At 46.1% G+C, this 14,531-nt stretch overlaps 1 protein-coding gene across 3 annotated transcripts in view; it reads right to left on the bottom strand.

The window, feature by feature from the left end:
- Positions 1–14,531, bottom strand: part of RGS6 (regulator of G protein signaling 6) — a 762,695-nt gene that overhangs the window by 41,602 nt on the left and 706,562 nt on the right. The window contains exon 18 of one of the 3 annotated variants that reach the window (XM_017021822.3): positions 6,529–7,060. The exons of 1 other annotated variant lie outside the window; for it this stretch is intronic. In XM_017021822.3, the coding sequence (XP_016877311.1) occupies positions 6,914–7,060 (147 nt within the window). In that variant the 3' untranslated portion in view covers positions 6,529–6,913. Of the gene's footprint in view, positions 1–6,528; positions 7,061–8,944; positions 9,289–14,531 lie in introns of those variants that run through there. One more of the 3 variants, XM_017021827.3, reaches the window with a different exon arrangement.

Here is a 14,531-nt window from a genome sequence, read left to right as displayed (position 1 = left end):
CCAATATTTTAAGCTCATACTCTTACAATGAGTCCCTGCATGTGGAGGTGGGAGTCCTCAGAGGCGTCTCTCACGAGCTCAGGAGTGACAGTCCCTCCCAGGTCTTTCTGGGAATCTCTAGGGCATGTCTCAGATATGCTCACAAATGAAAGACCCTTTTACAATATTTATGATAGTTCCCAAGTACTCCCACAGGTGAGCTCACAAACAAGTCTTCCCAAGTATTTCTGGGAACCCCTGGGGGCTATCTCACAAAGGCTTCCAGATGAGAGCTCGTCCCAATATTATGGGGGTCCCTAGGTAGTGTCTTTTATCTATACCATAACATGTTTCTGTGCCCAGATATTCCTGGGAATCCCTAGGGAGAATTGTACCCGAGCTCCCCAAAAGGGCTGCCTCTTTCTGGTGCAGCCACTGCTCTAGCTAGAAGCTCCCAGGTTCTGGAGCCTCCCCAAGACATCTGGTCAAGCACTACCATCTCTTACTGGCCGATGATGTCTCCCTGTTGTTGGAAGCTTTTGGGATGTCAAAGCTGCAGGATTTGTGAAGCAAAGTGGAGTAGAATCCATCTTTCTCTGTGGCCAAGCAGGGCCTCAGGGTGGCCAAGCAGGGCGGGTTGTGCCCCAAGGTTTTACCTAGTGTTAGTAGACAGTTCTTTGTACTTTACCGACAGTTCTGTTCTGAATGAGATTTGGATAGGACTCATGTGGGCTGGGCCAGGGGATGAATCTGAGGGGCAGAATTTTTCTGCTGATCATGGAGGCTTTGCTGCTGGCTTAAGTTCATCACATCTGACTCCTACTACCCCTGAGGTTGGACCCTTTCCAAGGAGACTCTTCAGGCCTCCTTGTAAGTGGGTATATTAATTATTTGCCAGTTTAAGGATAAAGGAATTTATTATAAGTTATGGGGTGGATTTTACCTGCATCAGGAAATGGGCCAGGAGAAATGCCCAATGACTATTAGAGCAGAAACACACTGCTGCGACCCCCTGGACCCACCTCATTGTCTCTGAAACAAGGGGCGAGGTGATAGAACCGTCACAGCTTCCCCCAGCAACAAAACACCTCAGTTACCAGTTCTGATCTCCCCATATATGGCTGCCATCTCACACTACTCAGTCCCATTTTCCAGTTCTCTCATGGATGTGTCTGCTTGGTGGAGAGTAAGTCATGTGGGGGCTGGAAATGGATGTGGTTTTCAGTTCTCAGTCTTTAAGTCCAGGAAGGCATGCTAGAGGGGCTTGGCATGAGTTAGATGAGCCATCGTGGGCATTCATGGACATGTCCCATCAGCTACCAGAAACACAGAGACGTGGCTGACCCAAAGTATAGGTGAAAACCATGCTTGGAGACAAAAGGCTGTTATGGCTGGACACAGTCCTAACACACTCTGGGGGCTGTTGCCCTGGTATGATGATTCAATCTGTCCATTCTTTGTGGGGATTATGTTCCTATTCAGTAGATGAGTTCATGAGAGTATCTTGTTTTAGTGTTAAATATTCAGGTAATATTACTAATGCCTCTTATTCTCGTTGGTTGACTGATTGACTCATCAAATATTTACTGAGCAGCTATTATGCACCAGGCCCTGCAAAGTAGTATTTAGGAATATTAAAAAGAATAAGATACTGTCTCTGTTCTCAAGAATCTTGCTGTCTCATGGGTAAGGCAGACAAGGCATCAGGCCATTTGAGATGCTGCAGACCAAGATGTTTCGGGATGAAGTAGGGATGGGTTGTGTTGGGTATATTGTTTCAGGAGAGAGTAAGCTCTGCACGAAAGGTCAGAGAGGGTGGAGATTAAAGAGGCCTTTCTGACCAAAGTGCCCTGTGTCGAAAGGATCAGTATCTTACTCCATTCACATTGCTATAAAGAAATCCCTGAAGCTGGATAATTTATAAAGAAAAGAGGTTTATTTGGCCTGTGGTTCTGTGGGCTGTACAAGAAGCATGACACCAGCATCTGCTTCTGGCAAGAACTTGAGGCTGCTTCCACCCATGGTGGAAGGGGAAGGAGAGGAAGCACGAGAGAGAGGAGGAGGCACCAAGCATTTTTCAGCAACCAGTTTTCTCAAGAACTAAGAGTGAGAGCTAACTCAAACCCGTGGGAATGGTAACAAGCCATTGATAAGGGCTTCACTCCTACAACCCAAACACCGGCCACCATGCCGTACCTCCACCAACACTGGGGATCAAATTTCAACATGAGACTTGGTGAGGCCAAACAGACCATATCCAAGCCATAGCAATCAGGGAACACTAAGCTCTGCAAAAAGGCTGAGTCCAGAGATAGGAGTGGGGATAGATCAGGACAGAGGAGTCAGTGGGAGCCAGGCCATGAAGGATCTGTAACTCTGTGATCTGAAATTCAGATTTTATCTAGAGGGGAATTCAGATTTTATTCTGAAGACAGCCAAGGAAGAGTTTTAAATGGTAGAGTACTATGTTCCAATTGTGTCTTCGAAAGATAATTCTGACAGTCATATGGAGTATAGACTGGAGAGGACCAGAGAGAGCAGATTGAAGACTCTATCCAGGTGAGAAGTTTTGAGACCTGAACCAGTGGCAATATTGGAAGGAGAGAACAGGATGGATAGGAGAAGTGTATAGAAGGTAGCCCCTCAGCACTCATCCCTCATGGGATAATCAGGATGATACAAAGGGAAAAGAAGTTAAGGATGATTGAGTGGAGGTTTTGACGTGCTACCCAGAACTCTTCAAGACCAAAGGACTTATTCCTCTAGCTCCTGGGAGAATTGCCCTTGGCTGAAGACAGCCATCTTGTCCAAGATCACACTGCCTTCCTGGACAGCCCACATCCAATGACTGGTCAACATTTGGGTGTAAAAGCTATTTTCCAGACTTCTCAACCCAACTCAAGACAACTTTGAAGGGCCATCCCTGCTTCAAATCTCCCAGAGGGCTTGGATGAGGCCTTGGTTGAGACTTTGTTGCAGCTCAACTTCCTCTTCTTTCCAACCTGCTTTTTTCCCTTCCCTTCCACAGGTGGGATGTGAAGAGCTCTTTCTAATACACCTCATTATGTTAATATCCATCTCAGAGTCTGCTCCTCAGGAAACTCATGCCTGCAATGTCTATCCTCCTGGCTTGAGAAGTCTGTAGATGGTGTTGTCATTCACTGATTTGTGGAATAGAGAAAGAGGAGGTAATTTGGAGTGAATGGGAGGGAGATTGTGAGTTCAACTTTAGAAAAGTTGAGTTTGGACTTCCTGAGACTTTCAGAGAGTTGAGACTAAAGTTCAAGAGAAATGTGTAGACTGAAAGTATAGATTTGGGAGTCGTTAGTATTCTCAGGTTGGTTGTCTTAAATTGGCCTTTATTCCAATCAGAAGCACATATCATTTTTTTTTGGAAATGAAGACGACATAATGCTTGGGTCTCTTGGTCTTTTTCTTTGCATCTAGCTCCTGACTGCATGTTGGGTTTCTGGTCCATTGGGTTATTATGGCCTCTAGCCCTGCTAACCCTGGGCTTGGTTCAATGCAATCCTCCAGACACAGCTCAGCTCTAGCCTCTCTTATACTTGCCTGCTTCATTTTTAGCCTTGACTCAATCCCCCCAACTTCCAAAAACCTGGCTTTCCTACCTGACTCCATGATCCAATATTAAGCATAGTCCTGGTGTGAATCCTTCTGATAATTCTAAGCATCCTAATGGTAAATGTTGTTGAGCTAGTCACTGTCAATCCCTGTCTTCCCCAGTCTCTCTCAGCTGCAGGTGGTGATGCCTTCATCCCATGGCAGAGGCTGGCGCTTTACTCTCTGTAGGATCACCCTCTGTCAGGATGCTGCCATCCCCAACTGCCTTTGAGCATCAACCTGTCTCACCTTGGGCCTTTTCACTGGCTCTTCTCCCAACCCCTGCATGGTTATCTGGTCCCTCCTTGTCATTCAGATTGTCATTCAGCTTCAAATGTCAGCTTTTCGGAGAGGACTTCCTTGACCACCCAATCTAAAGTAGCCATCCAGTCCCTATCACATCACCCATTTTTACTTTTCTGCATAGCACTTATTACTACCTGACATTTTCCTATGTGTTTATCTCTCTGTCTTCCCCTGACTGAAATATAAATCTGTAAAAAGGGAGGTCTTGTGAAAATTGTTCACCATTCTGTCTGTCCCCAGCTCCCAGAGTGATGCCTGGCACATGGGTGTTCAATATACATTGAATGACTGGCTAAGTGAATCTGTGATTTGGCTATTGTGGGTCTTTATTAGATTGAATTTATTAAATTGAACACCCCAGACAGTGTACCCACTGGAATGAAATCTGACACCCACATTTCCTGTCTCTGAGTTTCTGGCTTGCTCTAAAGAAAAGCCTGCCTGAAATATGACCATTTATGTTATGGAAATCCAGATGCACCCCCTGCTTCCTTGGCCACCAGTTCATTTCACCTCTTGGATGATGATTCTTTCTCATTTTGTTTTCTCCTGCACCACTGGCTTGATTGGTGGTGATTAGCAGAGGGTGGTCCATTTATGTGAAACACCTGCTTCCCACCTGTGTCCCCATGAGCAGACAGCTCTGGACCCAGTGCAGGAAGCCGGCGGGTGTCCTCCATGGCTGAGTGGGCTTCCAGAATTTTTTCCAGGAGTCAGATCCAAACTGGCACCATATGGGTGGCCACCTGTATGACATTTTGCCAGCATTGCATTGAACACATCTGCCAGCTTATAAAAGAGACCCCGTGAGGCCTGGGGCATCAAGAAGGATTGGCAGAAAAGCTGGCCCAAGAAGAAGGCTGAGCCAGAGGGAAGCAATTTCCACTTTGTGACTTGGTTGTGATTTAATCAGTCTCCCTTCTCTTCTTCATGGAACCAGCAAACACCAGCTCAGAAGACTGTGTTCTTGCATCACTCCCATTGATCTACGCTGAGATCAACACTCTGGGAGAGTGGACAAATGTGTCAAAGATTATTTTGCTCCAGCCCAAAGTACATATTGACACAGCAATGTTCTTATGTGTGCTAGTCAAGATTCTCCAGAGAAACAGAACCAATAGGATCTGTCATCCGTCTATCATCTATCTATCCAGCTATCTAGCTAGCTATCATTGATCCAGATCTAGATATAGATATATGAGAGAGGATTTATTAGGGGAATTGGCTTATACCATTATGGAGGCCAAGGAGTCCCATGACAGGTTTTCTGAGAGCTGGAGAACAAGGGGACCTAGTAGCATGGCTGTATTCAAGTCCAAAGGCCTGAGAAGCAGGAGGGCTGGTGGTGTTACTCTCAGTTTGAGGCTGACGGCCTGAGACCCGGGGGACTGCTGGTGCAAGTCTCAGAGTCTGAATGCTGGAGATCCTGGAGTTCTGATGTCCAAAGGAGGAGAAGAGTGTCCCAGTTCAGAAGAGAATGAATTTGCTCTTCCTCTGCCCTTTTTTTGTACCTGAGCTTTCAGCTGATTAGACAGTATCTCCCCATAAAAAGTAAGGGCAATTTTTTTTTTTTTTTACTCAGTCCACTCATTCAAATGCCAATCTCTTTAGGAACCACCCCCACAGACATACCCAGAAATAATGATTAATCAGCTTTCTGGGTTTCCCTTAATCCAGTCAAGTTGACACCTAAAATCAATCATCACACCATGATGAACCAGACAGGGTGGAGGGTGTGATTATTCCCCTAGTCATTGCATCATAGCCATGTCATTCATCCAATACCTAGTCATGCTACACTACATGCTGATGAACAGATGTTGTCCTTTGGGTCGGTGATAAGACTCACAGAACCAAGAGTCAACACATTTGATTGTATGGGTCTGGGTGGAACACACCAGCCAAAACTGTAAGGGAAACCCTGAGCTACAGGTACTCCATTTGAAAACATGTCTCAGTTTTGCATGTTTGGTTTTCATATGTGATTTTGCCATCTATTTTGTATGTGTGATTCTGCCATCCTAATCCTCAGTTATGCTCACCTCAAGCTATTGCCCCACTGGGTAATTTACAGCCTTTTCCATTTTTTTCCATGAATTTAATCATTTAATACTTTTGAAATGGTTATTGTTTCACGTTATAATAGATACAGGGGATATAAAGTTGACTACAACAGCATCCTTGCCCTGTAGGAGCCCACAAGCAGGCGGGGGAGATAGGTATTACGGATTAATACACTGTAATAGCTCATGAAGGGGACCCTGCTGTGCTTTGCGTATGGTTTGTTTCCACTGAAGCTCATGTTGAAATTTGATCCCCAATATGGTGGCATTGGGAGGTAGGACCTGTGGTAGGTGTTTAGGTCTTGGGGGCAGATCCTTCATGAATGGCTTGGTGCTTTCTCCTGGTAGTGGGTTCTCCCTCTGCAAGACTGGATTGTTTTCCCTGGGAAACAAATTAGTTCCCATGAAAGTAGGTCGATATAAAGCCAAAATACCTCTGGGTTTTGTGTCTTCATACGTGTCCATTTCCCCTTTGATCTGCCATGTTGTGATCAGCAGGAAAGCTCCCACCAGAAGCCAGGGCTATGCCCTTGAACTTTCCAGCCTGCAGAACCATGAGCTAAATAAAACTCTTTTATTGGTTAATTATGCAGCCCTGTGTATTCTGTTATAGCAACACAAAACAGACTAAGACAGACCCTTATCCCAAGTTTGGAGGAAAGAGGAATCAGAGAAGGTTTCTAGAGAGAGAAGGCTCTTGGGGTCAAGTACTGGAGGAAGAATAGGATTTGGTCTTGTAGGTGGAGAAGGGAAAGTATTCTAGGCAAAGGTGGCAGCATGTGCATAGGCTGCTAGTGAGAGCAGAAGAATCACTGGGACACCAGGGGTAGTTTCAGTATGACAGCAGCTAGGTTCACGCATGTGCAAGGGATCAGAGAGGCATTTGGACACACATCCTAAGGGCAACGAGAGCTACTGAAGGATTTATCAGAGGCATTACAGGATCAGACCTGAAATTTCTGATGATTCTGGCTGCAGTGTGGAAAATAGATTGAAGAGGGCTGGATTGCATGCAGAAGGCCCTGCTGAGCTGTCGTGGTGGGAGCTGGAATCAACTTGAGTGGCAGTGGGGAAGAAGGAATGTAGTTGGCCTGAAAGATATAAAAATAGAATTTGCAAATGATTGGATATGGAGGCAGATGAGGGAAAAAATGAGCCCTGGAGGTATGGATAGATGGGGTGCCATGAAGTAAGACAAGGAACCCCAAGCAGCAGCAGGTAGAAACATACTTTCCTCTTCCTATAGCCTCTAAAGAAGAAGGCCCAGATCCACTAAGTGGCCTAGAAGGAGCTGGGCAGGGGGCTTCATCCACTGGGAACTCTGAGGATCCCTCTGTCCTCAAGAGGCTGCCCCTAGACATGAGACTGCTATTGATTCCCCTTGGACAGCCTGAAAGGGATGGGATGGTCACATGTGGCACTGGGCACTGGACACTGCAAACCCTGGGGTGCAGAATGAGGCTACTTGCCTGTGAACTAAAGAGAAGGGTTCCTGAGCCAACCACTTTTGCAGGGACTCTGGACCCTGACTCAATATGAGAAGGTGGCTCATGCCTTGTTCTTGCTCCCATAAGGCAGGCAGAGCAGGTTGAAGGCAGGGCTTTTCCTGGCAGACCCTGCTCACTCCTGAGGCCCAGGTAAGTGAATAGTTCTGACTGTGGTTAGCTGGAGACCTGAGTCCTGTCTTGGCCATGTAGGAAGCTGAAGAGCTGCTTGAAAGAGATCATATGCATAGTACACCAACACAGGCTCTGCTTTCTCTGAAAAGCAATTTCAAAGCCACTTCATTCTCCACCTGCATTTGGCTAATAGCCTGATTACAACCATACTAATAACCTTCAAACATTCTTGGGAGCAGCCTTGGCTCTGAAAGGTGTCACCTTCCTTTCTCCTTGCCCTATCTCATGCTTCTCTGTGACTGCAGTGAAAACAGCTGTGCATTCCTCCCAGGGCCTGAGTTACTTGGAGGAAAGGCAGATGGCTGTGGGCTAATTTCTAAAGTGCACTTCTGGGGACCATCAGCCTCAGTTCCCACTCAGGGCTACAGGTCAGAGCAAGAACAATTCTCCATGAATATGGATGCCAAGGATGGGAGCTGATTGCTTCTCTCCTGCAGGGCAAAGCTGTGGCCCTGGGGTCGGGGTGGGGGGGACATTTTTGCTGAGATACAGGGTCTAGGGAAGTGGTGTCCTCTGAGTCACAAGGCAGGACATTTTAAGATTTAGGATGCTGGCAACTTGGAGAAAGGTGTCACTACCAGGAGAAGCAGCACAGAGAGGAATTTGCGTCTGTCATACAGTCCCTCCATTAATTAGTGCCTCTTACTCTTACAGCACTGAATTAAGAGGTTGGATGGTCAAGGTGCTGAAAGGATTTTTGCAGTAGCTAAGAATTTGGATGGATGAACATCAAGGTGTCTTCCAATTTAAGAGGCTAGGTGTCCTCATTTGTGCCTTAGCTGATAAGCTGATATTATTCCCCCTGGGTTGCACTTTGTCCCTCTTTCCTATTGTCCAGATCTCACCCAATCTCTATGATTCAATTCGTGCCCCATCCACCTATTCTTTGAACCCTTTCCTGATGGCCCCAGTCCACACTAACATGACATTTACTGTCTGAAGATCTTAGTTACTTCAGTGGCCTCCAGGTGGGCACCTTATTATATGCTGCCATGTTTACTTGTTGCTATTCCTGGGCCTCATCTACTGTTACCTGGTGAGATTATGAATTACCTTGTGATCAGGGCCAACACCCTTTGCTGTCCATTCCTAGTTTCCTATGTCAAATTGGTGAGTGTTGAGCAGCCAGCGTTCTAAGGGATGAGTCCCCAGGATGCTCAGAGGGGCTGGGCATTTTCACTAGATGTCATTATCCCTGGGCTGTGGAATGCCTCACTCCAAGAGAGATGCCCCTGATGACAGGTCCACAGGCTTCCCTTTAGTGTCTCACGACAATAGGACTAGACATTTCCTCCCCTTCCTGTTCTTCCATAGCCCCTTGATAGAGCTGTGGAAGAGGGATGCATTCTGATAAGCTTTATTATTTGGCTGACTGGCTTTTTGTCTGGTGCAGCAGCCAAGATAGAGTGCTGTGCTCTGGCCTGATTTAGATGGTCTTTTACTAAAGATGGTACGTGTGGCACATGACAGTGATGGCCAGGGACAATGATTACCCATTTAGAGGCCCTGAACTATTCAGGGGCTTCCAGGTGGTGGTCATGGAAGACCTGGCCTTGTTCTCCGATTCCTTGTGGTGGTCACACTGAAGTCATCCCTTCTCCTTAGGATAGGCCATTGATCAAGTACCCAGTCAGTTAGATCTGAGGCATGGAGAAAAGAGAGAGAGAGAGACAGAGACTGACTGACTGACTGACTTTGGGACTGGAGTAGAGTAGAAGGAGTAGCTAGAGGTGAGACAGGAGCATAGGCTGATGCAGGCGGTTGATACACAGGTTGATACTTTTTCCTAAGGATTGCAGACTTGATCTCATCTTGGGTCCCATTCTCCAGGCTCTCATACCACCCCACTTGCTTATTCCCCAAATGCCATAGATGATCATAATGTTACAGCTTCGCCCAAGCCATTTCCTTTCCCTGAAAGACCCCTCAACATCCCTTTCATCAGTGTCCATTTGACAAATGCCTACTCACCCATTAAGCCTTAGCTCAAATATCACCAGTATTCTGTAGTATTCTTGGCCCCCAGAATTCCAAAATGCTTTTATAGTTCCTTTTACTTTGGCACTTTTCCTAGGAAGCCATACCCCGCTGTGTGCGGGTCTCATTGTGAACTCTTGAAGGGCTCAGACTATGCCTCATTTACCTTTGCATCTCAACACTACCCCAGTGCCTGACACATCATCGGTGCTCAATTCATGTTTGTTAAATTGCACTGAGTGAATTTCGATGGGAATAGGGAGCCACTGAGATGTTTTTAAGCAGGAAACAGATATATTTTTCTAGTGCTGGAAGCTTTTGACTGGGGACAGGGAAGTTATTGCAAATAGTGAAGGTCAAGTTCTGGACCTCAGCTAAGAGGAAGTAGGAAGGGATAGAGTGAACACAGATTTCACAGGATTTGATGGCAGGTGGGGCAGAGAGGCTGAAGGAGAAGGAGGGTTAGAGGTTGCCTCCTAGGCTCTTACGTGAGGAGGTGGGACCCAGGGGGTGCCATCAAGGGAGGCATGTCCTATGGAAGGAGGAGGATGTGAACATGTCCCAGAAAATAATGAAGTTTCTTCAAAGCCAAAGAAAAAGTCTAAGAGCATTCCTTTCCTAAAATTAGTAAAAGAAGCATCTTTCAAATGAGGAAATCTAAGTTCTAATGGTCAGAGCAGGTAGATTGGGCTGTTTGCATTCTTGGTTAAAGAAAGAGAATCCAGGCATCAGGGAAGGTCAGTTCATTTCAGCCACTTACTCTAAGGGCTGGAGCATTTAGAGGTCAAGGAGGGAGAGGAAAGGCTTTTTATCCTGGACCAATTCCCCAGCCACTCATGCAGCCTCTGCACTCTGCCTCAAGGTAGCTCATGCTAGGAGTCTTACTTCTGATCTTCCTTTTCTGTTTAAAGCGAGATGTATTCTGGGTTTTGAAAGCAACAAGCCCATCTGTTACTGGGGCCGATGGCTCAGGTTAGAGCACCACTCATCTTGCTCCTCCTGTGTCTCTCAGATGTGGAGATAGCAGCTCAATGGCATGAAGAAGTGGCTTTCTCCTGTGAGGGCTGTGCTGGACTCCTTCCAAGGACTTAGGACACGGAAGTCACCACGCAGTCTTGAGTTGCCTGATAGGTAGGCAGAGCTTCCAGCAGCATGTGGACCTGGAGCACTAGGGGCATTTTCATTACGTACATGGACAAAACTTAATCCAGCTTCCTTTAAATTAGATGTGTCTTGATGTTTCCCTGGTGACATTTCAGCTATTCCCCAGGTGTGATGGTAAGAACTGGAACTGGACTCAAGATGGGTGTTTTTCAGAGGTGGGGTAAAAAGGACCCAATATAGTGGTAGAAAAGGTGGGAGAGAAAGAGTAAATGGTCGGCACTAAGCTGGTGAATGCTGCAGGAATGCGGAACCCTGGCTATGTTTAAACGAGAGAATGCTCTGTTTCTTCTTTGCTCTGATGTCTGGAATTCAGCCATAGTGGGCCATCCTCAGCAGATCACATTTCAAACTTTCAACTTCTTCTCTCAGAAAATCTTCATATAGATATGAATTACATATGGCTATGAATAGAGAATTCTGGGCAAGAGAAATGATTGGTAACATTGTATCACTCAGGAGTTACTGATTATAATGAAGGCAATTCAGGCTCCATTGTTGTTGGCAAATAATATACCTGCCTGTTACAGCCCCCTGTTGGGAACTTCAGTGCAGATATGCATGAAGATGACTTTAGTAGCTAAAATGGGGTGCAGCTTCAGGTGCCTGGGGCCCTCTTCCTGCAGCCTCACTATACAGATTGCACTGATGTTCCAGAAATAAAAGGAAGGAGTTCTCTGAGCAGAGGCAAATGCTTCTACAAAGCCCATGTGTTTACTTCACCTGAAAGGCACAAGGCATCTCAGAGCATTAGACTGTCAAACTGGAGCCCAGATGCAGAATTTGGTGTAAATTAATATTACTAATATTTTGGATCTCCTCTGAAAATCATCAATTCTTGCCAAGATATAGTGGGCAGCAGGTTAGAAGCACTGAGAGACTGGAAAGGGGCAGTTGGATCCATCATGCTGAGAAGCCTTGATTGACAGTGAGGAAGAAGACAGCCAGATTTTAGCTCCCCAAATCTGTCTGCATCATGGGACCACAGCATGGCTCAAAGAACAAGTATCACATGTCTGTTATCACAAAACAATATCGTAACAGATAATCATTTTGATGATGTTTTTGCAAATAATTCTGTTCCAAATAGCTAAAATGAACAGAGAAAAGGGTTTATGTTTCAAGGTGTTGAAAGCATTCTATGAGATTACAGATGTGTTGCAATCTGTCTGCTGCCAATAGTATATGAAAGGAATGACATCATTGTGTTGGAAACCTGGATCCCTTTGCTACATATTATCATCATTTATTTTATTTCTACTACAGATAGGATAATGTTATTCAATGAAGACTCTGTATGTACTTTTTGGGAGGAGAAAAATACAATCTTGTTTTGTTGCTGGGAACTCCATATGTGGGTATAATATATCCCCCCATTACATGGCCAAACAGAGACATGTCTAAACTGGTTTTATAGGACCTGGAGGAAATATCCTATATAGAAAAACTGGGAGAATAAAATTTGTACTTTCAAGGAAAGGAAAGTAAAATGTGACAAGAGAGCTTTCCTCAATTGTATTCAAGGAGATGCGAATTTGGTGTGAGGCAGTTCACCTAGAATCTATGGAAGGGTCTAATGACTGAAAAACCAAATGGCTGCAGCCTCAGATTGTCTTGCTTGTGAGGCAGTTCTACAAGATAGCCACTGAAGACAGGAACGGGAGCCTCTGGCTCTGGCCGTCTGAGAAGACATTCTTGGAGCAGTTTAGGAAGGACGGGTGGGATGCCAGGCCAGAACGAGGACAGGGAGCCGAAAGCAAGTCGATCTGGGGCTCAGATAGGCTGGCTTGAAAATGGAACTGCTTTTAAAATATATTTATTTTATTTTAAATGGACACATAATAATTGCACATATTTATGGTGCACATTATGGATGTTTTGACACCTGTATACATTGTGTAATGATCAAATCAGAGTAATCTGCAAACTCATCACCTCAAACATGTATCATTTCTTTGTGGTGGGAGTATTCAAAACCTTCTCTTTTAGCTATTTTGAAATATATAATACGTTATTTGCGGAACTGATGGAGGTGGTGGAGAAAGGTTTCTTCCAGATGTCCTTCTGCAGGCAATCTGGACGGAGCTGGAAGCATGCCCATCCTTTTCCTGTCCTTGCTGCCTTCAGGCTACCAACCTATGAACTCTGTCCAAGAGCCCATCTCCTTCTGAAGGAACGTTGGTTGTCCTATCCTCTCCTCACCCTCAATGCCCTCACCTATGGACCTACAGGTCACATTTCCATATTCCCTCAGGACAAGGGCACCTGTCCCCAGCTTCAAGGGTCTTCCTCCATTCCACCTTCTGCTGTCATTCTGAGTAACCTCAATGTTCCCTGATGACCTACACAATCCCTGGTTGCCAGGGCCCTCACCTTCTCCATCATGACCCTTGTATGCCTCTCCAGTCCAGCTACCCCATGGCACACCCCAGATACTTCACAATTGCTCTACCTCTGAAACAATAAACTCTGAATGCTGCCTCCTACCATTTACCTACCTTACAGCCTATATTTCCAGATAACTCACTCCTAGGCTGCCAGCTGTATCCTCACCCTCTTTGGAAGCAGCTCTGGTATCTACTGGCTCCACACAGTTTCTCCACCCTGATTTGAATCCTTTGAAATCCTCAACACCCACCTCTCCCTTTCCAACCCCCATATTCATTGAGTCACCAGGGGCTTTCCATCCTACTGTAGCATCACACAAATCTTTCCCTCTCTGCACCCTCACTGCTAGGCCCTAACCTGGTTTGCGCCATCATGACCTGTCATTGGTATCTAGGTCTGACCTTTCTCAGTCTCTGTGCCCACTCCAGTCCCCCACACTGCACACTCTGCTCATGGAGTCCACCCACTGCACCCTCAGCAGGTGGGGGCTTTTCATGCTACCTCCTTCCCCACTTCCTCCTAGGGCAAATGAGTTTCCCTTTGCCATGTGCATTCTATTTGTTCCTATGCCCCTCTTACTCGCATCACAGTAGGTTGGTTACGTATCTGTATCTTCTACTAGAAGGTGTGGTCTTCGAGGACAAGAACCACTTTCACTCAACTCTCTGAGCTTAGTAGGTGGCATAACACCTGCCACGTGGCCAATCTCAATAAGCGCTCATAGACTTAAATGTCCTCAGATATACCTTCCATCAGATCTTCCCCCTGGGTCATTATCAGGGCAGCCCGGCCTCACTCTTAACTATCTTTTTTTCTGGGAGGAGACACACTCCTGCCTTCCTCTTTGCAATGCCAGTTGCTGGGGTGGTCACTCCTATTCTGCCATAACATGAGGCTGGGCCGTGGAGGGGGCGGGAGGAGGCAGCAGGGACTGGGGAAAGTCACAGAACACTGTGTGAGTGAACTGGCAGAAGTTCTGTGGGCTCACCAGCTGGCACCCTGGGAGAGAGCCAAAGAGAAAGTTTGTTTTTTCCTGCCCAAAGCTCAGAATCCTGAGAGCAGCCATGAGTCTGAGTGCTAAAGGCTTAGGAGTGAGAAGTGTCAAGGTCACCTCTGCTTTGTGCCTGACCGGGGAGGGGCATTGTGGATGTTGTATGTGTGTGTGGGTATTCCAAACCACTGGGCATGTCTGGATAGCTAATAGCATGCTTCCGCAGTAGAGCGAGAGGAAGATCCACTAATCCAATTTGTAATTTATCTTTTGGTTTGCTCCCAATGTTTTCCCTTTGTTTCTGGCTTGATGCATTTATCTGAGGGCTCAGTGAGTTCACCTTGGCAAAGTCTTGCATGAATAGGA

Source organism: Homo sapiens, chromosome 14 (genome assembly GCF_000001405.40).
Source record: "Homo sapiens chromosome 14, GRCh38.p14 Primary Assembly".
Classification (NCBI taxonomy): Eukaryota; Metazoa; Chordata; class Mammalia; order Primates; family Hominidae; genus Homo; species Homo sapiens.
This window is presented reverse-complemented; position numbering and strand designations above follow the sequence as displayed.